Source organism: Homo sapiens, chromosome 6, assembly GCF_000001405.40.
Source record: "Homo sapiens chromosome 6, GRCh38.p14 Primary Assembly".
Lineage (NCBI taxonomy): Eukaryota > Metazoa > Chordata > Mammalia > Primates > Hominidae > Homo > Homo sapiens.
The window spans coordinates 40,636,594-40,661,625 of NC_000006.12; positions in this window are offsets into that span (position 1 = coordinate 40,636,594).

The window sequence follows — 25,032 nt, forward strand, 5'->3', positions numbered from 1 at the left end:
AGGACTGATGGGAGGTGATGGGAGGTGACTGGATTATGGGGTGGATCGCTCATGATGAGTGAGTTCTTGCTCAGTCAGTTCACATGAAATCTGGTTGTTTAAAAGGGTCTGGACCACCCCCTTCTCTTTTTCGCCATGTGATGCACTGGCTCCAGCTTTGCCTTCTGCCATGATTGGAAGTTTCCTGAGGCCCTCACCAGAAGCAGGTGCCAGTACTATGCTACTCATACAGCCTGCAGAGCCATGAGCCAAAATAAACCTTATACATATATATATATTAAATAAATATATATAAATATATATATGTAAACATATATATTAATATATATAAAAATATATATGTATATATATATACATATATATAAATATATATGTATATATATAAATATATATGTAAATATATATAAATATATATGTAAATATATATATATAAATATATATATATATATAAAATAAATAAAACTTACTCGGTCTCAGCTATTTATAGTGATGTGAGAATGGCCCAACACATTGACCTTGGGCCAGGAATCCCCTGCCCTGCTTCCATGGCTGGCTCTGAGGCAATAGTTCCTGGGGGAACTTTAGCTGGGCACCTACCATGTGCCACTCTAACTCAGAGTTCAAAGAACGTGGAGAGGATGGGTATGGTTCTGGTCTGGCCCAGTGGGTGGCACAACTCAGCAGTGGACCGTTTGGCCAACAGGACCCTCCAAGTCATATGGCATCTGGGTTATATGTCCAGTCAGAGCAGAATCCTGACCCCCGCAGAATTCTGTCTTCTTCTAATACCAGGGAGTCCTGGATCCCTGGAGGGTTGTGGTCTCTGTAATCCATGTCTCTCTGAGGTCCTAACTCCTTCTGCACCCACATCCATTCACCCCACCCTGGCACAACGTAGGGCAGGACCTTTAGCAGAACCTGGAGGGTTAGCTGTGCAGAACTGAATGATCAACTACACGGTGTCTGGGCAGGGAAAACTGGCAAAGAGTGCTGGGAGAGGGCAGGGGCAGCAAAGATAAGTCAGGTTGCCCGTTTTTTACAGTGTGAAGACTTTTTGGAGAGGCTGACAGGGTCTCACCTGGAGGAGGGAGTGAATCATTCTTCCTCAAGGGACACGTCAAGAACTCAGTAAGTGTAGATATTAGGGGTGAAGATGTGCAAACTTTTCCATAGTTGGGAAGGCACATTTGCCAACAACACAGTGACTTCATTTTCCTGGCAAAGGGAAAGGACTAACATTTAAGAAGCACCTACTGTGTGCTCCAAGGTTGTTTCGTTGCTAGGTTGCCTGAGGACAGAGGAAGAGATGACTCAGTAAGATTATTATTACTATACTCTACAGATGGAAGACACTGTTAGCTGCCCAAAGTCACAAAACTAGTAATTGGCCAAGCCAGAATTGGAACTCAGGCCTTTGGATATCAGAGCTGATGATCTTTTTACATCTGCATGATATTTCTCTGGAATCACATAACCCTGATCAGAATAAAAATGAGAAAGAATGAGTGCATGGATCTACAACTGTGGGAACCTCAACTCTTCCATGCTCTCCAAAGTCAGGGGACTTCGTAATTCACAAAAACGGAAGAAAAACTACTCCCCTCCAGCCAGCCCCTTGTACTCCATGTGACAAATGTTCACACTCTTTCTGCCTGAGTCACACATGCCAGTAAATAGTACAAACATTGATCCACATATTTCATGTTTATAGCCTCTGTTCTATCAGAATCCTTAAGTAGCTCCTATAATCAATTTATTTGCCAACAGGTGCAGTGGTCAGGGTGAACGGTCAGTACCATCAAGCCACCCTGGGGGATCCTCTGGAGACCCTGAGCCATTCTGGGGTGGCATTGCTACAATACCGCAATGTACAGGGAGTGAGGCTTCTGGTAATCATCTTTGGGTAGCAGTGGGTCTAGGTTCCAAGGGGAAAAGGTGAAAACTTGTGCTTTGTTCTATGTAATATTTAGCTTTGAACAGAAGAGAGACATCAAGAAAGTGAAAGGGCAAGGTCCTAGACAAGATGGGGTTGGAACAGAAAATGAATAAGGGAGAAGGAAGCAGGCAGAGACTGTGCAAGGTAAGGATGAAGAAGAAAGGAGGTAAGAAGAAAACAAGTAGAGGTTGTCTTCTCTTTCTCCTTCTTCCTGAACTGAAGTAGAAAGGGAAAGTCTACTGAGACCTACTCACATTATTAAACATGCCTCCAGCTCATCCATGTCTCCCCACCTCACCTACCAGTGAGTCTATCCCCTCTGAGCCATTGGGAATAAGGCCCATGTCCATATAGGCAAAACAATGAGCATTTCCACACTTGAATGTGAGTGGTACGGATGGAAAATGAACAAGATGGATTGCTTCCTCTAGGAGACAGTTTCTCAACCATGGCACTGCTGACATTTTGTGCCAGACAATTCTTTGTTGTTGCGGGGCCTTCCTGTGCACTATAGGATGTTTCGCAGCACCCTAGGCCTCTACCCACTAGATGCCAGTAGAATCACCAGTGTGATAACCAAAAATGTCTCTAGACGTTGCCAAAATTGCCCCTGATTGAAAACCGCTGCTCCAGAAGGCTAGGGCTACCTGTTTCCTGGAATGAGTTTTAGAAATAGTTACTCTGCCTTCCTGCATCTTGAAGGAACTGCCTCACAACTAGCCTCAATGTATATCCCACTCTCTGTCCCCATGTCTGATGATCCATTTCTAGAAGTACCGAGAGAGAGAATTTGTATAAACATCAAGGGTGGATGCTTTTCTTCTGCCTCTGAGGTCCACTCCCCAAACACCCCTGCAAAGTCTGGTATAGACTAGGAGTAAAAAGCTCTAGTACTGGTCAGTGAGAAGCAGAATCATTGAGAAGGATTCTGAGTCAGCAAAGCCTGGCTATGGGGCCCCTCTGCCCTGGGGACATGGATCCCTCCATCTTTTCTCTTCTTGTGCAAGCAGAAGCTGAAGACACCTGGCAGGCTGCATCTACATGTGTGCCTTTGATCAGGCCCCCGTGGCCTTTGTTCCTCCGTTTTTCCATCTACAATGGAAGGGACTGGACTGAGAGACCTATAAGGTTTCCACCCAACTCTGATGAACCATGTTCTGAGAGTTTATGGCTCTGAGGTTATAATTAGAGAAAGCCTGATCTTGAGGTGCATTAAGGATATGCAGAGCATGCTATGAATTCCCTCATGGCTACCTTTTAATTACCTGAATTGATATAGGCAAGCATTGCTAATTTGAAATGAAAAGATAAATCCAAATCTAATCTGGCTGGACATCAAACGCAACATGACTCTCTCTCTCTCTCTCTCTCAAACACACACACACACACATCTGTAATAGAAAGGGGACCTCCAAGACCTCAAGGAGAAGCCACACATAGAAACAATTCATCGGTAATTGAGAGTTGGCCAAACATTTGGTCATTTTTTAATTTTTAAATTTAACAGATTACATTGATTGTATATATTTATTGTGTACAACATGATGTTTTGAAGTATATATATACAAATATATATTTTGATTAATTTTTAGCAACAATCCAAAGCCTAACTTGACCTGAATGCTTGGTTAATGTTTAATGTCCAGCAAAATGCCAGCGTCTCCCTGCCTTTAACTCCCCCTGGCCCAACGAGATCAAAGGAAGAAAACTTCTCTGCCCTCTCATCCTGAATTTCTCCATGGCTCTTCCATTTTCTCTCTGTCTCAGTGTCTCTCCATTTGCATATGCCTCTGAGTCTCTGCATCTCAATCTCTGGGTCTCTGTGCCTGTTCATCTCTGTGTGCACCTCTGTGTCTCCATCATCTTTCTGTGTGACCCCCCTACCCCCACCTCCACCTCCCTCTCTCCTCCCTCCTTCTCATTCTTTCTCCCACCAATCACAACAAATTGACAAGGAGCGGAGGCCCTGTCAGGAACATCATCTGCCTGTTCAGACCAAAGGGGTTTTCTTTGTGCATCTTGCCGTGATTCATCTTCAGAGGGATCGATTCCTGGGCATCCATCTCTGTGTCTGCAGAAAAACTCTCTAAAGCTGCTGCTTCCCCACTAGGCCTGGACCTCTTGCTCTCTTGCAGCAACAGCTCTGTGGTTTGCTGGCTTCCGCCCCTCCAGGAAAAAAAATCACTCAGGGGTGGGAGGAGATGCTGACACCACTGAGGCCGAGCTAAAAGCAGCTCCTCGGAGGGAACAGAGCCAGGACAATGGGCCCTGGGACGAGAACTCCAGCCAGCTCCCAGCCCCCTCCGCCCACCTCGGAGGGCGTGCCTCTCATCTTGTGTGCTCAACATCGTGATTATTTATGGAGATGTAAAGTGTCCTTCAAGCAGCTCATTCTTCTCAACAAGCTGTGAGGCAGGCGAGAGAAGGCGCCGGCCAAAACCAGGCTGCTTGGGGAGGAGGTGGCAGGGCTGGGAGTGAAAGAAAGACCCCTTCATCCTCCCGCGCTCAACTCGCCTTTCAGGCTGACCTTGGAGAGTGAAGACTGGCTCAGATTTCCTCTGCTGTGTATATCTTCACCCAGAGAGCTGTGTGCTAGCTGTGTGCTCCGAGAACAAGGGAAGCATGCAGGGCCTGCCGGAAGGGGTAACTGTGAGCATGTCAGGGTCTGAGCAAAGACAAGAGTGATGTGTGAGCTGGCCTCCACTCTACCACCTTTCCCCAGAGCTGAGGGTCTCCCTGCTGTGTCAGGCAGACTGGGCACAGCCTTCACATGCCCATTCCCAGGTCTAGGTAAGCAGAGATCACTGCTCAAGCCATTAGGACAAGGCTGAAACTCTCTGGAGTCCCTTCTGGCTGTGGGTATGCCCCTGGGCCAGGCCAAGGATGGTGGGGAGCATCCTAAGTGTTTCTGGAAATGATGGTGGACAAGGATTACCTAGGGGTGGCCCCTCAGTCCTCACAATCTGAGTTACAGGGAAGACTGGGGTTTTAGGAAGGAGGTTCTTAGTAGCATGCTGTACTGACATTTGGATCAGATTGATAGTAATCTTGGCCATGCTTTTTTTAGGAGAATAATCACTGAATACATCAAAGATGAGAATGAGAGTAGACTAGGAGTCAAGAGATAAGTCATGAGAGGTTGGGAATGTGAGCTGACCCATGAGTAACTAACAATATGCAGCACCTGAGGGCAAGGGGGCACCTTTGCTCCTGGTGTTAGAGATGAAGTGGCTGATAACAGAGAAGCAGAGGTCCTCCACAACTTGGAATGGTGGCGCAGTGGACTTGGGATGTATCATGGTGCTGAAGCACGTGCTCTCAGGCACCAAACGCACTGGGTTTGAATCTTGGCTTTAGAGTTAACAAGTTGTAAGACTCCAGGCAGCTCCCTTAACTTCGGTGTGCCTCGGTTTTCTCAACTGTACAATGGGGCTAATATAGCAATATGCCTCCTAGGTATGTTGTGAGAGTTAATAAGATAATAGACCAGTACCTAGCATATTGCAAACAGCTATTATTATTTTCATAACTATTACTGGACTCAGAGAATTGAATTTGATTTCCACCTAATTCCAAGTCCAGAACTTAAACCAGATACTTTATTTATTCAGGTTTTGGTTTCTTGTATAAACTTATTCCTACCTCACAAGGTTGTTGTAAGGATTAAATGTGAATGTATGTGGACACATTTTCTAAAACTGCAAGGGATTATCCAAATGTGAGCTGTTCCCAGGTACCACCGGGGGAGCGGACAGCATCTGAGGGATGAGGAAGAAAGGAAATAAAGTTGATGGACCCATATCCGGATTAGGTCTTGGGAGGTATTAAGTGCACCTTCACGAGGCAATCCAGGAAGGCTTCCTGCAAGAGGAGGGTTGTGTAAGCTTGACTCTCAGCAGTCTGAAAAAAAGGTGACTCACTGTGAGAAAATTATTTGACAAGATGTTCTGTAAGCAGTGACACCTACTGCCATGGGTTTTGCAATAAGAAGCAACAATTCCAAACCAGGTTGTTACCCTCTCGGGTCTGCAAAGGAGGAGAGACACAGGCCTTATGGAGAGTGTGTCTGGGACAACATCATCTCCAGGAGGAAATACATACTCTAATCCTGTCAAATGTTTGTGTCCCCTGAAGCCTCAAAGGCCCTGTCCTTAGTGGTGTTCACAAATATTTTGGTTCTTTCTCTTTCCTGGCACATGGTAGGATGCATGTCCCTGTGCCTTAAAGTTGGGCATGGGCGTGTGATTTGTCTGCAGCTTGCATGTGACTTGCAATGAAATGTAGGCATGCTTAATTGCCAACACTTGACTTCAATTTTCCTTTTTTTTTTGTTTTTGTTTTTTTTGCATTAGGAATCTTAGAAGCTTGTGTCCAGGTGATGCCTCTCTCAGCCTAGTCTCTGAGTGACTCAGCAAGCAGACATTGCTTCCAACTTGTGTCAAATATGTAACATGAGCAATGAAGAAAAACCCCCTTTGCATGAAACTGCTGAGATATTGGGGTCATTTGTTTCTGCAGCAAAATCTGGCTCATCCTGACTAATGCAGCTCTAAAACATACAGTCTCAGCACCTGCTTTGTATTGCTATGTCCAGTCTCTGGGTAGAACCTGGATCCACTTGCCCATGATCCCCAATGCAGCTACAATGACATTCGAAGAGGAATAGAGGGGAGGACTAGAACACAGGTGAACAGGGAGTAAAAACAGGAGGTGCTGAGCCTGGGGTGCCCCACCCCATGAGAATAAATGTTGCTGGGCTTAGGGAAATGCTGAGCTGATCTTGTTCACGTCCACGACATCTTGTTCTCTGTTCCTGTCACAGAATGCCTCTCAAACTAGAATATTCACATCTTTCCTCACTGATGCACATGCTTCTCTGGAATGGAGAACTTTAAAAGAAAAGGAGTGTCCTAGGAAATTGTGCCTACAATGATCTTATTCCCCAGTTCTTCCCCCAGTCTCAACACAAGCCTCTCAGTGCCCAGGCTTTCATCTCACTGATCTGGATGTGATTTACAGCAGATAATAATAAATAATCATTATAATAATATTAGCCTTTTGCGTAACACTTACTATGTGCCAGACAGTGCTTTAAGCATGCTACATGCTTAAAATCTTCACCAAAACCTCATGAGGATGTACCATTGTTCCCATTTTTCAGACAAAGCAATTGAGGCACAGAGCAACTAAGTAACATGCGCAGGATCAACAGCCCATTCAAACCCAGTCCGTATGACTCCATAGCCCATGCTCTTAACCACCACACCATACAACAAGCATAACATTTTATCTCCCTGGAATCTGACGTCTTGGCAAGGGTCCCCATCTGTTCTATCTTGGGGATACTCCAGAGTAGGGTTGGATCTCAGGGTATCATCTGAACAGAGAGATTATACCACATCACAGACATCAGACCCTGCTATGACCAGAACCTCTTTGGTGTCTCTGCCAGCCCTCTGTTCCCTCAGGCCTACCGTAGCCCTCGCCTATTATTTCAAGAGCAGCTCTTTTACTGGCTACTTCGGAAGCAGATGTTGACTTCTTGAGGTACACCCCACTGTTTGTGGCTACCTAACAGCTATTGCCTTCTCCCTTGTAACAGAACACTTATTTGGGGTGGGTGGGACTATGCCAAGCTCATTGCCACACTTCTTCAGCTGTGAAGTGAGTTCCTTGGCCATAAGCAATGATGTGTGGAATATCATGGTGGCGGATAAGGCATGATGAGACTAAAACCTGCTTGGTCTAACTTGGTTGTGATAACTCCATTCTCTGTTGCCAGTGACTATTCTAGGACTGGGCATGTAACTCCATTCTGGCCAATGAGATGACAAGAAAGCCTACAGGAGGTGGGGAGGTACTGAGAAAACTTATCCTCCCAAAGAGGAATGCCTTTCCCACCTTGCCACTTGGGAGGTGGGCAGCCATCTAGCAACTTGAGGGATAACGACCTGGTGGCCTGGCAGAGCAGACAGGCAGGAAAAGCCTGGGGCTTGGATGACCTCATTGAACTGCCCCAAGCCTGGAATAACCTCTTTTGCACCCGAGTAAACCCCTACTACTGAAACCACTTTTGTTCAGATACTTGGTTACTTGCTGCCTAACAGATCTTACCGAGAACAACTCTCACTGGTTTATTTTCTCCTAAGATGAGGTATAAAGCAAGGGGATCCAATGAGTATGGAAGCAACCACTTTCCCACACTTAGAAAGACCACCGTACTGATAACTGAGAAATGAAAGTATTCTCCAGGTCAGGACTCAGTGACTGAAACGCAATTAACTCTGATTCATTGCACATTTTAAATCAAAATATATTCACTATCTAACTCTAAATACAATCATATGACTTATTTTTTTTGCCAGGGAGACAACATTCCATTAATGTCTTACAGACATTACAGAGAACTCTCCCATGCACAGGTTGACACTTGCTTGCTTTCCTTTAGTTCCAAGTGGAGATAATGACAGGCAGAACGTTAAGAAGCTTCTTCCACAAGGCCCTGTGAGGCACTGGATGTGTAGAAAGGACAGGAGAATGGTACCTTGAAAAGGACAAGAGAAGCTGCACAGAATATGAGCCAACTCCTTGGTGGGGGGCAGTCCCCCAAAGCCTGACCATGGGAACAAGAGGCAGTTGCGGTTCAGGGGTTCCAAGACTGACAGATATAGGCTTTAAATTGCTAATCCACATTTGCTGTGTGACGCTGGGCACTCCACTTGCCTTCTCTGAGCTTCCACGTACTCAAGAGTAAAAACAGGACAGTAACATCTAAACCGGTGAGAATGAAAGGAGCTTGGAGTAGGGGTTAGGGAAATGACAGCCATTACTAGTACTCGGGCAACCTGGCCTGGGATAAGCAAGGTGATTTCTAACAGAACTCTTCCAATTCCTCAGTGCGGAGGCAGCTCCACAGAAGCGGGTGGCTGTGTCCACTGAAGACATCTAGGCTGAGCAGTAGTGGCTCTAGATGGCATGCACGATGGAAGAAAATGTTTCATGTCTTTCGGAGGCAGATTCTGCAGTGGGGCTGAGTCTGTGGCTGCATTGCTCTGATTGACGGAGGAAGCTTAGCTTAGATAAGATTCTAGAGGATCTGGGTAGGACTTCATCAGGCCAGCATAGGGTAGTAAAACAGGTCATGTTTGGGAACAAGAATACTAGGATTTTTAATGCAGCCCTGCCACTGACCAGCTTTAGAGTCTTGGGAAATATATTTAAAGGTTATATGCCTCAGTTTCCCCCATCTGAAAGTTGAGACAGGAATCTGTGGGATTTGGTGATAACGCAAGCACTGAACGATGGGTAGCCAGGGCTTCTCTTACTGACCCGTCACAGGTTATCCCATGAAAGCATCCAGCACATGTAGAAGGGGAGGGGATATTCTGAGTAGAACAGTAAGTACAGTGGCTCATTTTCAAGTCCAATTCCCCACTTTAATTGAGTTTTGCTGAAAAGCCCCATGCAAGCACTTTTCCTGCCATTTTGCCAGATTTGATTCTCGCTGATAACAGAAATCTGAGTGGCTCCTGAAGATAGATGACTGCTGTTGGCAGTGGGATGAGATGGTATGGATGAGCAAGTGGACCTGGGAAGAGCAGAAATTGCTCTGCTCTGATCAGGGCCCCTATTGATGTGCCTCTCCCCACCACCCCCTGCTCATGCCCATCCTGGCTGGGCATTCCCAGCTGACATTCCCAGCCCTCATCCTCGCCAGACTCACCTTGCGGGACAAGAGGCACCCAGGATGTCTAGGTACTACTCTTTCTTTAAGGCTGCCTAAGATCAAAGTGTATCTTTTGGAAGGTGTCATCCAAGACTCCTGAATTAGGATCAGTCCACCAGGTTACCTGGTAGAGAGCAGAACACTGATGGAATAGAGAGCATTGGTTTGTACTTTTTAAAGCTTTATACAAATGGCATATTCACCGCATCTCCTGAAACTTGCTTTTTCTTTATTCAACGTTACATGTTCGAGGTGTATTCATGATGATCCATGTAGCTCTGATTCAATCATTTTCTCTGCTGTATAGATGGACATTTTGGTTTTCTCCAGTTGTTGCTATTGCAAGCAAATACACAATTAGCATTCACACTCACATCTCCTTGTGCACACATGGGAGAGATCCTAGGTACATACCCAGGAGGAGAATGCCTGGGTAGAAAGGATAGCTTTGAATAGCGGTAGCAAGGTGGGACACGAGTCAGGTTGCAGGCTTTAGTATCCTGTGTGATGAAGCAAGCCTCTCAGAGATGGAAAAGTCTTTGTAGGTTCAGTTTCGAGGAGGGTCAACCCATTTCCTTCACCAGCGGACCAGCTACAGGGAAAGCTACCTGTCACTCATCCTCATACACTTCACAGTCCACACACTGCAACAGGGTAGGAAGATAGGCACTGTCACAGCCCTCAGTGCAGGATTGGCAATAGAAAGTAAACAGAAAACCAAAATGGGAGTAAAAAGATCCAGCCACTTCACAGTTATTGCCATCTTTCAAAAGAAACTCCAGTCATTTTCTCTAAATGGAGAATTCTTACCTGAATAAAACCCGCTGCAACTTGGAGACAAATCAAATAAAGAAATAAAGGCTTCATTGTGATTCTAACTCTTACCCCAGAGGAATTCTGGTTAAACACACTTCTTAGTTTCTCTTTCGATGTTGTGTCTTTTAAAATAAAATATTTTAGACATAAAAAGTATAGCTAATAATATTATGAACACTATGGACCCATCGACCATTTTATAAAATTAAACATTATAGTTTGAATTGAAAGCCCTTATAAACTCTTCCCAGGCTCCCCACATTCCTGAATCTAGTGTTTGTCATGCCCATTTCTATACAGGTTTTCATGCTTGCCCAGGATATAGGTATCCATAAATAATAGAAAGCATTGGTTTGTATTTTTTAAAGCTTTATACAAATGGCATATTCACCGCATCTCCTGAAGCTTGCTTTTTCTTTATTCAACGTTACATGTTTGAGATGTATTCATGATGATCCAGGTAGCTCTGATTCAATCATTTTCTCTGCTGTATAGATGGACATTTTGGTTTTCTCCAGTTGTTGCTATTACAAGCAAAGCCACAATTAACATTCACACTCACATCTCCTTGTGCACACATGGGAGAGATCCTAGGTACATACCCAGGAGAATGCCTGGGTAGAAAATGTACGCCATCACTTTCACAAGGAGAGGAAGGGTGAATGAAGCAAGGATGCCACAAGAACCCCTGGCTGAGGACCTCCCACATCCACATGGCAGGGAACACTTTGCCCAAAGGCAGTGACATCTACCCTAATGAGCAAAATCAGACTGTGGTCAAGGTATTCAGAAGTTTTCACAATTGCTGTCCTTTCCTCCTAAGGAAGGTGTGGACAGAGAGAATGGTGTGTGAGCGGAGGTGGTGTAAGTGTGTGTGTGTGTGTGTGTGTGTGTGTGTGTGTATGTGTGTATGTGTAAGATCCACAGAAGCAGCATCCTTTGTCTTTTTGACCAATGCATCCCAGCACCTAGAACAGTGCTGTGTGTGCATGCGATAAATACTCCTTACTTGAATATATACCATGCATGGATGTGTACATGTGCACCCATGTACATGTTCTGTGCAGAGGAGTGCTCCCTAGTCAGGGAGGGCACAAGAGCTGAGATGTTGTTGGGAGCTGAGATGTTGTTGGGAGGCAATATGGTCTGCACTCCCAACCCCTTAGTGCAAATGTAACAACAGACCACCAAATCATGAAGAAAGGGAAATGGTCTGAAACATGGAACAAAGGGTTCGTGCTGCCTGCATTTCTGGGAAAGGATCTAAGAAGAAGATTCTTGGTATTTAGACAATAGGACAAAGCCAAAGGAAAACTCAAAGGAAGGCTTGTGGTCATCTTCCTCACAATAGCAAAATTCCTCCTCAGCAAGTTTGAAGAGCCAGCAAATGCAAGCCAAAGAATTAACAAATGAAAGCAAAAAGGAATTTAAAAACTAAACAGACAAGATAGAGAAAACCCAACACTGACGGATGATACAAAGCAGTTTAACTTTGAGTAACCACCACCTACCTGGAGAGATTCTCAGGGACCTGGAATTTTGTTGCCCTGGACCTCAGGTTGTGGCCCCTGCCTTCCCAGACCATGGAAACTTTGGGGGCAACTTAAGTAGAGGTAATAATTACAGCTGTTTCTAATTTTTTTCCCCACGATAGAAATATGGTAGGCAGAGAGCAAGCTGAGATTCTGTGCTAAAGGAATAAGTCCGACAGGCAGGAAGAAAGTGGCAATGGGAGACTGGGGTACATAGGGGACTCTTGGGAATCTAGAGGAATTGGCCAGCAGACGGTCAGTATCAGCAGGCTGCCTGCCAGCACTGCAGGGATAGTAAATGGGAATGATTCTGGTCTCTGGGCCAGGTTCTGAAAAAAAACAAGACAAGCTCTAGTCCTACTGGAGGAAGGACACAGTCTCTGGAGCCAGAGATCCAGGTCCAAATCCTACCTGTGTGCCCTTGGACAAGCTGCTTGCTCTCTCTATGCCTCAATTTCATCATCTGTAACATGAGAATGATAATAAGTAATATTGACTCAGTGCCTCCCATGTCCCAGGCATCGCCCTAAGAGTTTTTGGCATATCATGTAAGCAGGTTTGGTAGCTCTTCCTGTTTTGCAAATAAGGAAAGCAAGCCTCAGGGAGATGCCTCCTAGAACTGTTGTGAGGACCTCATACGGGTGACGTATGCAAAGCATGTCGCACAGCAGGGGCTTGCCACCAACTGTGCTTTGATTGTGGCTACTGTGGTGGAGGCTGGGGTCCCAAGCGCACTGCCCACCCAGAGCCTCTGGAACAGGAAGGGGTCAGGGAATCTGTCATCTCTGGGATTCAAAAAGGGCAAGTGCCTTCAAGAACAGTAGAGCCCGCTTCTGAGCCTGGTTTTTTTGTTTTGTGATTCTCAGAATAAAGCCTGCAGACACTCATAGGATTTAGGAGCCTCTGACCTGGAGCTGTCTTTATTTTGTCAGCTTGCCCTCCCCGAAGGGTCTCCATGGGCCAGCTACTGTACTGAGCACTTGACATGTGCTTTCTCCTATGTCTTTCCAGGTAGCCTATGGCTGAGAAGTGATTCATCCATTCTAGAGGGGAGACATGAAGACTCAGAGCGGGGATGAGACCTGCCCTGACGCAGTGACAGAGCTGGGATTCCAACACCATCCAGGCCTCCTCTCACCTTCTGTCTCTCTCCCTGGCTGTGTGTCCCCCTCCCATCATCTCTGCCTAGGTTTATTAATATCTCAATCTCGAGTCCTACTTTCCTCTAACTCCACAGCCCCACTCTCCCACTGGGAGACAAGCCCTGGGACCCTCCAAGCAGCCCTCTCATAGTCCCCAGTCCCTGTACTTCTCACCGCCCTAAATGTCTAGAGAAACTAAGAGAGTAGAGGTATTTTAAACTCCTTTAAAAATGAGTTAATTTGCTCTCATAAAAACCAACCCTCTCTCCCAAGGCAATAAGGGCAGCCTGCACCTTGCATGCAAATTTCCCTGCCTGTTATTTGACATAGGATCCTGTGCACATGTGCACCCTTGGACACGGTCAGACTAGCATAACAGCCCAGAGAAGGAGCTCATGCAGGTAGACATCCACAGACACATGAGAAAACACTCAGAGAGATGGGTGTGAGTAACCAGACACAACACATATCACATATACTGACCCACAGATGCATTCCCCACCCCAGGGGAGGCCAGCTCACAGCACACACTCTACCCCTACACAGAGACACAGAGGATCCTCCCCTCATGATTCCCAGAACAAAGCCTGCAGACACTCATGCGATTTAGGAGTCTCTGACATTCACTATCTATGTCTTTTTCTGCTCCCTTGGGGCACTAACTGCTTGTGCAGAGGCTGGGAGAGGCTCCCTGTGGCCATCTCTTCCTGTTGAAATGAAGGACATGGACTGGGGTTGGGTGGTGGTCATCTTTCTGGTGTGAGGAGAACCTTTACCCCGGCCAAGGCTGGCCATGGGGCTGGAGGTGAGGTAGGGGTATGAGGGTGGAGGGTTGAAAATGCAGACGTCTAAACTCCCAGATGTGGCCCAGCGTTTCAGTTAGCCTCTGACCCAGGTGACCAGATCTATTCATTTCCAGCAGAATAAATTATCGATCAGAGTTGATTTTCTAAAGAAAATCCTCCCATGTGCACTCTAGCATAAGAAACAAGTGTTGGGGGTTGGAATCCTAGAGAAGGAAATCACTTGAGTCCCAGCCTCTGAGCTGGCACCTGTGTGGTCACCCCATCCCTCCCACAGACCATCACAGGACCAGGGAATCAGAGCCAATAGGAGCCTCATCCCCAACTCCAGGAGGCCCCCAAGCCCCTGCCACCCTTCACCCTTACCTCAAGGAACGGCCATGGGCCTGCAGATCCGTGTGGGGTGAGGGATCTAGGGCAGTGTTTGCAAGCTTTTTTCTTCATTGTTGCCCCCAATAAGCCTTTTAAGATATTTTTTCCTAATTGTCTCCCTTGTAATTTTAATACCACAGATGCACTATATCTCTGTGGAGGTCCATATATCATCATAATAGCTGAGATCATTCCTCTTCCTCCCACTGAAAAAACAATTTTTCCCCCACTAGGGCAATATTACCCTTGTCGAGGTATCCTGCTGTGGGTCAATGGGTTCCAGGAGAGAAAGCCCTGAGCCCAGCCCAGGGGAGGCCAGAGGAAGTCTGTTCTTCCATTAGAGGATTGGGGCATAGGGAACTGACAGCAAATGGGGAGCAACATGGAGTTCAGCAAGAATTATTCGGTCTCTGGAGATTTATTAAAGAAAAATGAGCTGATTTTCTTGGTCTCCAACAAACTAAGGAAATTTCAGCAGTGGAGATGGATGCAGGCACCAGGAAGGACTTCCTGGCACCACAGTGCTGATAAGGCTCTTGCTAATTACTTGTTTATTGATTGGCCGAGAGCAAGAGGGAGGCATTGTGGGGGTGGAAGAAAAGTGAGGTGTGGTGGGGAAGGGCACAGGACAGTGGACACTGCCTGGCTTGTATGCTCACTGGCACCAAGTTCATGGAGGAGGCACCAAATCACATCTCACATCTTCAAGCCTCAGTTTTCTCTTCTGTAAGTTGAGATGAAACCTATCTTGGAGTGCGGTTGTGAGTATTAAGAGATGTGATGTTGCAGAATGCCTAGTACAATGCCTGTCGACTGTCAGACAAGGTTAGCTCCTGTGTGGTCTTTGATTCCCTCCCCAGGTTCTTCCTCCAGCCTTCTCTACCCAGGCCCATCTTCTCCCACTGCATCTTCAAACACCAGGTGTGAGTCAGGCATCCCTGAGAGTGTGTGCACACCCACCCTGCTGTGCACAGCTCTGAACTCAGGGCACTGCAGAATGGCTATGTGTTGGCACACTGACAATGTGCCAGACATGGCGCTAGGCATTTGGTATAAAGTGACTGACTTCATTTAATACTGTTCCAGTTACCTTCTGCTGTCTAACAAACCACCTCCAAACACTGGCTCAAAACAGTAACAGTTATTTATTTTTCACACAAATCTGAGAACTGACTGGACTCAGTTGGGCGGTTCTTTCTCAGGGTCTCTCATTAGTACATTAGTGACAGTCAAATGGAATCATCTCAGAAGCGTCTCAGTCGCAGTCCTGACAGTCGATGCCAGCTGCCATCTGACCTCTATTAGGGCCAACAGTGGGAACATTTACGTGTGGCCTTTTCACGCTCCTTGGCTTCCTCACAGCATGGCATCCAGGTTCCAAGAACAAGTGACCAAAAAGAGACAGAGACAGAGAGAAAGAGGGACAGAGACAGGCAGAGAGAGGGGTCACGTGGAAGTTCTGTCAGGTCACCTTTTATTGCCCAGCCTTGGAACTCAGGCAATGTCACCCCTGCCACATTTGTTTGATCAGATGCAAGTCATACAGGTCAATGGATAGTCAAGGGGAATGAGACTCTACCTCCTGAAGGAAGGAGTGTCAAAGAGTTGACATGTATGCTTTACAGTCACAGCCACTCAGAATAATCCTGCAAGTTAAATATTATTATGCTCCATAGATAAATGAGGAGATTGAGATTTAGTACAATTATGTAGCTCATCCAAGAAAGTCTCAGTTTCCCTTTGAAGTTTTTACTTAAAAGTAGAGGAGTGGTCTCTTTGTCAGAAAATTCTTCAGTCTGGTGAGGAAAAACAACCCCGCCTTGAGAAATACCCCCCATACTAGAGAGACACAGCTGTACCCAAGAAGGTCTCCAAGTCTTAGTGGAGACATAGACTTGTCCTCAAGGAACCCCAGCCTGAGGGGAGATATAACCCCATCCTCAGGGAGCCCCAGTATGAAGGGAGACATAGCCCGTTCCTTGGGGACCCCCAGTCTGAGGGAAGACACAGCCCCATCTTCGGGGGGCCCCATTCTGAGGGGAGACACAGCCCTGACTCAGGGAGCCCCAGTCTGATGGAGGACTCTGAGTCATTTATCTTCAGGGATTCTATGGTCCTATCAGAATGGATTGACCCTTCATCATGAACTACCTGATTAGAACGCATTAAACTTGGTTTTCGTACCTAGTGTTGGACTATGGAGATTGTGTCTACCAATTCTTTTTGTTGGAAAGTTTTAAATAATTTAATGAAGAAAAACTTTCATACATCGACTCCTCTAAAACTTTCCTACCAAGATTTTGGCTCTAATATACTGGAAAGGGACTTGGATTGGGAGTCAGGTGATGGAGTTTTACTCCTAGCCCTGCCAGAACTAAGCAGAATGTTTTGTCTCTCCAGACCTCGTCTTCTCCATCATACCATGGCCATGGTAACCCTGGCATGGTCATCAGTGACATGTTGGAGACATTCCCTGCATGGAATGTATAGCTGAGTCAGGATTAGAACCCAGGCCCACAGCCCAGGGATGTTGAGGAATGTCCCTACAGGAGGGTCAGTTCAAATAGGTAGAAGACCCACTGGGTTTCTGAAGGATGGGTGAGTCAGGATGGGAGCTCGGTAAGGAAGAGCAAATTCACACTCACCCCTCAGGGAGATGCCAGAACCCCATGTTTTCCTACATTTCCTCCTACTCCTACTTGGACCCTAGGAGCTTCTACACTTCTGTGGCAGGTAGAGAGGAGGGTCATATAGTCCTTTAGACAGGCCTTTGAGGCTGGGAGCCATAAGGAGCTAGGAAGGGACCAGAGTTCTTTATATGGCACTTACTAACTCAGTATTTCCACTCTCTCACTCTAAGCTGGAGACAAGTCTGCATTCCATGGAAGTCTTAAAAAGCTGTTACAAGAATAAAATAACTTGCATAGCTATATACTCACCTGGTAGGAAGAATTTGTTTTTTTTAATATTCATAGCAAAATTTGGAGTATTATTTCCATTTTTCAGAGGGGAAAGCTGAGAGTCTGGAAGATGCTGAGACCTGTAGTAATAGTATCAGAGAGCAATCAGGATTTTCATTGTTCATTCATTCAGCAGCTACATGTTGCAGGCATGATACTGGACCATGGCATGAATCAGAGGCCTAGTTCTTGCTCTCTTGCGGTGACCGTTTGAAGTGAAAAGACACAGTTTAAACAGGTGATCACAAGTGCACTAAGTATTTTACACAAGAACTGTAAAAGGAGCTGCAGAAGAGCACAAGAAGAGAGCCCACTGTGTCCAAAGGGTGAGGGAAGCTGCCTAGGAGAAGGATGTGCAGGCTTGTATTTCCAGAAAGAACTAGAATAATTCAACTCACTGACTTGGGAAAATATCAGTTGTTTACCTGTGTACTCTAGGCCTGGGGCCAGGGGCCATCTTCTCCCTTTGGGAACAGAGACATGTTAGGGTGGGTGAGCCTGAGAAGCTGAACTCATCACAAGGGAGAGGCTGATCTTAGGCCCTTGTGCAGAGTCTGGGCCCTGAAGGTGTGTCAGGACAGCAAAGCTCTCCAAATCATTGTGGATCAGTTAATGGAGATATTAACTGACACCTCCCCTTAGCCCTGTTCTGGGTGGGAGGGAACTCCCCTCAACTTCCAGACTAGCACACTCACCAGCAGCTCAGACATGGTTGGCATTTTCCCTATGATAATTCATTCATTCCATGCTGTTCTCTCAGGGTCTTCCTATCAGTGCCTTAGTTTCTTTATCTATAAAATTAAAATAATGACAATCCCTACATAATGGTTTGTTCAAGGATTAAAAGGGTTAATACAGGTAAAGTGGTTAGAACAGCACCTGGCATGTGGTAAATTCTTAGCAAAGATTATATGTTATAATCATCAATGACAAGTTTTCCCACAGACAGGGGCAGGTTCACTTTCTCTGTTGAGCCTTTTGCAAAAGTGCATGTGTAGTTTTTGGTAATAATGAAGACAGTGATGATGCTGTAAAAAGTGGTTGCAATGGTGATAATAGTCTCCACAGTGACAGTGATGCTGATGGTGATGATGACTGTAATAATTGTGGCGGTGATGGTGAAGATGATGATGATGATGGTAATAGTGATGGTGATGATGACAGTGAAGATGACAATGGTAATGATGGTGATAGTGATGGTAAAGATGATAATGATGATGCTGGTAATAATGATAGTGATGATGATGGTGAAGATCATGATGATGTTAATAGTGATGGTGATGGTGAAGATGACAATGATGATGGTTATAAGGATGATGTGATGGTGAAGATGATGATGATGATATAAGCAATGATGAAGATTCTCTGTGGTGATGATCGATACATAGCAAGGAGCAGGTTGTGGACAAGTAGTTTTCATCATTGTCTTTCTATGACAGCTATGGGGAAGGCATAAATATCTACCAGTCATTTCCAGAGAAGGATCAAAGTTTAGGTATTTCTTCTCCCTTTTTCTGCCTTTCTTTGTTTCAAATGAAGAGACATTAATGAAGAAATTTATGGAGGGATGCGCAGGATTAAGAGAATTAGTAAGGAAGAGTGAAGTATCCATGTACTGGCAACAACAGGAAGCGGTTACTACACCTGTGTCCAGAGGGAAAAGGGAAGGGGGAAATAGCATTGCTGGAGGCATTGGGTTATAGAGCCAGGAAAAAGAGCATAGGGCCAGCCACTGCCAAAGATGCTCAGCTGAAGCAGGGAGGGAGCTGGGAAGAAATACCCCCACTGCTGTCTCCCCTGCCCTTTGATTTCCTGCCAAGCTTCCCAATTGGACACCAAGGACAGGGAGGCCTGGATGGTAGTTTTTGTACCAGGCTCAGAAAGTAAAGGGATTCCTGGTGCAGCTTGGAGGGGCATGTGCTTCCCTCCTGGGTTCCAGTTTTCTTGGTGAGTCCCCCAGGGACATGACCCATGTCTCATTCCTCTTGGTGCCCCCTACCCCATCCCAAGCTGAATCTGATAACTAGCACACAGTGCATGTTTTCTGGATGCATACAAGACCTTGTTCCAGACAGGTAGCTCGCAGAGCCTCATCTTCACAAGTAAAAGAAATGTCACCCCCTCTTCTAGTGGCTGGTTCTATTTCTTTAATGACTCAGCTTAGATATCTTGATTTTTTACCTGAATCACTCTAACTGAAATTGAAATTTCTCTACCCTCCCATTCCATGGTGGAGATAAGGCAGTAGCACTCACCTTTCTCTGGAGCCCCTATGCTGGTGCAGGGGCTGGATTGAGGCATCACCCCTGCTCTTCCAATGTGTGACTGAGGATGCTGTGGCACTGTCTGAATATTAACTATCAGTGACTGGGAGATACTTGTTGGGAAAAAAAAAAAAAAAAAACTTCTGTTCCTGTAAAACACTGAAGAATAAATAACCCTAAAGGGTCTCCTTCAGCCATGCTTCCAGGGAAATTGAATTATTTCAGCAGAGCCAGTCCTACTTGAGTCCGCTACAAGAGAGCAGACCTTTCTCCAAAGCAGCCCTGCCCCTTTCACTAGGCAGTCTCCAAGTGCACAGATACCACACCCCCTTTCCTGCCCCTACCATGAAGAACAGACTGGGTCTGCGAGGTCTCAAACTGAAGGCAAACGGGGGCTGAAACTATTAGTGTCACTTAAAATTCACTCTCCCCCTTTCCCATTGTTCTAATACTTTTGCTCCTTAATTGGATACATGATCATCGTAAATTCAAAATAAAAACCATTTTTCTGGGCTGGGCGCAGTGGCTCACACCTGTAATCCCAGCACTTTGGGAGGCCGAGGCGGGTGGATCACCTGAGGTCAGGAGTTCAAGACCAGCCTGGCCAACATAGTGAAATCCCATCTCTACTAAAAATACAAAAAAAAAAAAAATTAGCAGGGCGTGGTGGCGTGCACCTGTAATCCCAGCCACTCAGAAGGCTGAGGCAGGAGAATCGCTTGAACGTGGGAGCTGGAGGTTGCAGTGAGCCGAGATAGCACCATTGCACTCCAGCCTGGGTGACAGAGCAAGACTCCATCTCAAAATAAATAAATAAATAAATAAATAAATAAATAAATAAATAAATAAATCCATCTTTCCTGGCCTTTATTGCAACTAGGTATGAACTTTGTGATCAAGTTTTGGTCAATGGATTTGAGTAGAAATAAAGTGTGCAACTTCTGGAAAATGTCTTTAAAAGAAAGATAGCATGCTCTTCTTCTTCCCTTCCCTTGACTTGCTAGATAGAAGGTAGACATAATGGATAGGGCTCCAGCCACCATCTTGGATGATGAGGTAATGTTGAAAATAGAGGCCACGGATGGTGGAGGAACAAGATAGATGGAGCTTGAATACCACTGTAACACTTTAGCAGTCTAGAATTGACTCCTTCTGGATTTCTTAGAAGTGAGAGAGAAATAAACTTCTATCCTATTTAAGCCACAGCTATTTTGCTCATTTGTTTGTTTTCCATTACTACAGGCTAAACCTAATTCTAGTTGACATATTCATGGACTAAACCTAGTCCCCAGGTATATTTTGTTTGCCTACACAGTAACATTTAAATATTTTAAATTCAAGCCCAGCATTTTAAAATGAACATATTTTTTTAAACATAAAAATTTGAATTATAACTTCTAAAATGATGGAAGATCTGACACCCTTGGGCCTCCAATTTCAGCCCAGAAAACCTGGAAGAAGCTGAATAGCACTTGCCCCTTTCAGCTGGGGCATGGGTCTTTCGTTCAACAGTCTCTCCTGAGCCCACTTCATTCTACATTCCTGCCTGGCCCCTGCTGGCCCTGAGTTTGAGTCCCTGGGACAGTTGTTCCTGTCATCCATACTCAGTTTCCTGGGAACCCCACAGCCCCCTGGAGAGCCCTTCTTTCCTGCCTTCTCTGCATGAGCTGTGGGGAGCCTGGCCTCCCTTACATACCTTCTGGAACCATCCTGAGTCTCACTCTCTGGCACAGCCACGGAGTGAAGGAATTCTATCTGAAGACAAAAGCAAGGTGGAGGACAGACTGCATCCTGGAACCACAGAATTTATAAGTGAAAAAAAGCTATGTCTGGGACTGGGCGGTGATTTGTCCTAGACCATGCAGCAAGTCTGCAGCAGAGCAGAAGCGAGAGTTGAGTTTCCTGAGTCCCTGGCCCAGTGCACCAAACTTCTTTGCAAGTTTGTGTAGAAAAACTTCCCTGGAAAAAGACAGTTTTTCTGTTATCCTCAAAAAAAAAAAAAAAAAAAAAAAAGTCCTACTGTGTCCAAATCCAGGCTGTGGTGGGAGTGTGTGGGCAGAAACCTGCATATTTTGGTGAATACAGCCCATCTGCCTCCCTCTTCTGGACCCTAACCTCCAAAATGCCTGTGATAGGGACAGAGGCCTCCACCTCATGGTGAGAGCGGCTCTATTCCAGTACCAGGCTAGGAGTTTCTTCTCATAGAGGTCATAAGTTGTCATTCTTCGTTGTTTTGGTATCCCTGCTGCTAGCAAAGCACCTAGTACCTAAAAGAGGCTAAATAAATATTTGTTGAATGAATGAATGAATGAAATAGCAAAAGCTCAGGGCCATATGTGATGAGCTCCAGGTGGCTGGCACAGTCACAAAACCTCACCTTCCCCTCCCAGCTTCCTGTCCTTAGGAGTCAAATCACCAAACACTTCCGTATGAGGGGTTCTGAGCTAGCTGGTTCCAACCCCTGTCCTTCCCTCCCCTCTGTGGACCGCTTCTATGCTTCAAGAGAGAGCCCAGAGGTAACTTCCTAAGTGGCTGTAGAAGCCTCCCCCCAGGATGCAGCCCCACTGCACATGGTCTCTGCTGGGCCACAGGGGCTGACTGAGGCACGGTGCCACATTCCAGTGCCACAGAGATCAGGAGGAAATTGTCCCACTATTAGGACCCTTGATTTGTCTCTACAAGCAGCAAAGTTAACTAGAACAGTTAATTAATAAGAGAAATGTGCAGCATCTCGGTTATTTTTAATTCCTCACCTACATGAATGCATTTATTGGTTTATGTTAACACTAATTCATGCCCCAGTCCCGATGTCCTTACCTCAGGGTTGCCAGCTTCAGGCTGGAGGTGAAGGAACTTCTGCTGCTGATTTCCTAGCCCTTCAAATCATCTCTAAGTACCTTAGAGTCACATAAACAGGACATGTAATGAGACAGCCCTACTTTGCTTTGATACTTTTAATTACCAGCCTGAGAAAGGCAGGGGAGAGGTGAGAGGCCCAGGTTAGATGCCCGGAACCTGATAATGCATGCATGTTACCTGGTGACACACAGATGTTGCCTAGTGATACACACCTGTTGCCCGGTGATGCACACATGTGGCCTGGTGATACACACAGGTGGCCTGCTGCAGAAACAAAGTCAAAACCAGCCAACTCTTCCCTGGGAACCTTCCCTGCCTCATGAGCACTGATAGTTGGCATCAGCAGAGATAGGAGAGCACACAGAAGAGATGTGGCATATGCCAACTCAAGGCACACAGGAAAAGGTTACCTTTTTAGCATCAAGATTCCTTCTCCCCACAGCATGCTGTGGATTCCTTAATGGAACTTCCTTGGTGGCGAGACGCCAAGCCCCTGCTTTCTTCTTCCTCATGCAGTCATTCAACATTTGTGGAATTAGTCATTCAACAAATACTTTTTGAGCACCTACTATATGCGAGGCAGTGTTCTAGTTATTGAAGATACATCAGTGAACAAAAGAAGCATCAATCCTGGCCCTCATGGAGCATCCATTCCAGCAGAGAAAGATAGACATAAACAATAAGCATAATAAATAAGTGCACTGCAGAGTTTGTTAATGTTGGGGGGCAATTATCCATGGCCTTTTGAAATTCTGCACATCTCATTCTGATTTATCCTTTGCAGGATGTTTGTTTGCTACAAAAACATCCTTGAAAGCTAGAGACAGTATTTCCCTTTGCAGCAGAAGGTGGATGTACTTACTATCCAGTTTATAAACCATTGTCTCTTCTGAAGCAAAGGGGAGGCATGCTTATTTTCAGTCACGCAAGATTCAGATTCCCCAAGCTTGGGTTTCTTTCCTATAACCTAACCCACTGAAGATGGCACCCGATCCTTTTCACATCATCCTGTGGGGATTGAGGCTCGTTTGGGGAATTGGTATGAGGACTATATTAGATAAGGTAGGATTAAATTTGTCCCTGACTTTAGGAAAGTCTCTGATAAATAACACTGCCTCTGCCCTCAGAGTCATTCAAGTCAGCTTCAACTCATTGCCCAGGGTCATTTTAGATGATATGATTGCCCTAGACTTCATCCTGGCAGGTGAAGGTAGAGTCTGTGCAATGGTTAATACTTCCTGTTGCACCAGGTGGGTCCCTGAAAGGAAGAGGCGGCATTTTGGCAGAACTTATATAGACAGGGCTAATATCTGAGTGTCCCTGAAGGTTTTCCTGACTGGGCTGCCTGAGGTGGCCACTGATGACGCTCATCTCCCATCACAATGTCTCCACGTCTTCCAGCGTCGTGCTGAAAATTTTTCTCACTTCCCTTGGGATGCTGCTTTCATCCCCCTAATTAGGTTGTAAGCCCAGGGCAGGTACCAGGTCTCTGAGGGTCTCCAGTCTGTCATACAACTGGCAGAGTGCTCTGCTCATCACAAATCATCAATAAATTCTCCGTGACAACAACAACAAGACTCCTACTCAATGCCGAGCATGGTGCCTGACCTTAAGTCACATAACCTGTGGATGGGTTGGCGAGGAAGAGGGAGTCTTGCTGGGGCTGGGCTGTTGGGGCCACAGTGTCCTTCTCTCTCCCCTCCAAGCTTTTCCTCCCTCCAGTTCAGCCTGCCCTGGCCACCTCACTCCCCAGGGGCAAGTCATACCCATTTCCCCCACCCTTTTTGGTGAATGGAGGAGCCACTTCCCCACCCAGAACTCAGCCCTCCTCCCTTACACCCAAGCATCCCAGGAGAAAAGGAGGTGGGGAAGCTGGTTAAGTACTTTCCACGTCTGCATCCTGCTCCCCCAGCCTCCGCAACTATTATTGGTAAGTGAACGAATTTTCTCTCCTGACATCTGTAGCTCTTAGCAGTGAATATATTTGAAAAACCCTTTATGATTGCTTGAAATTGTCCCTGCAATTTGATTCCTGATATTTCTCTTTACTCAGTGAATGATTCTTTTAACTCATTGTATCTTATACTGCAGGCCTGCCCATCTCCCCCACCGACACACACCACAGTGATATTTATCCCCCTTCTCCCACAACCTGCAGAGAAGTGTCCCTAGCAAGCCCAAGTGGAGGGCCTTCCTGCCCCAACTCCACCGTCCCCATCTGTCTCCTCCACTGTTTCCCCAGCCTGCAGACACCCCATTCTCTAAGCCTCACACCCCACCAGGGGCTTTGGGAACAGGACCATTTCTCAGGGGAGAGGGGTCTTTTCCTCATCCACCTACTGCGAGCCTCACATACCACCACCTGCTTGTTCTCATGATTATTTCCAATTCCTTCCAGAACACTTAGCTTTCCAGCCTCAGCATGTAAAACAACTTTTCCCCCAGGGAAAAAATAAGGTTCGAGGATTAGAAATAATACCAGCGACCATAACAATAGAAATTAAAATGGGTCTCAGAATACTCAGTGGCTGATGGTGGGTGGGGGTGCTGAGTGTCACAGACAGCCTCACTGGACCATAAAGCTGTGGCTGCAATGGACCTTCCTGCAGTGGGAGGGAGGGC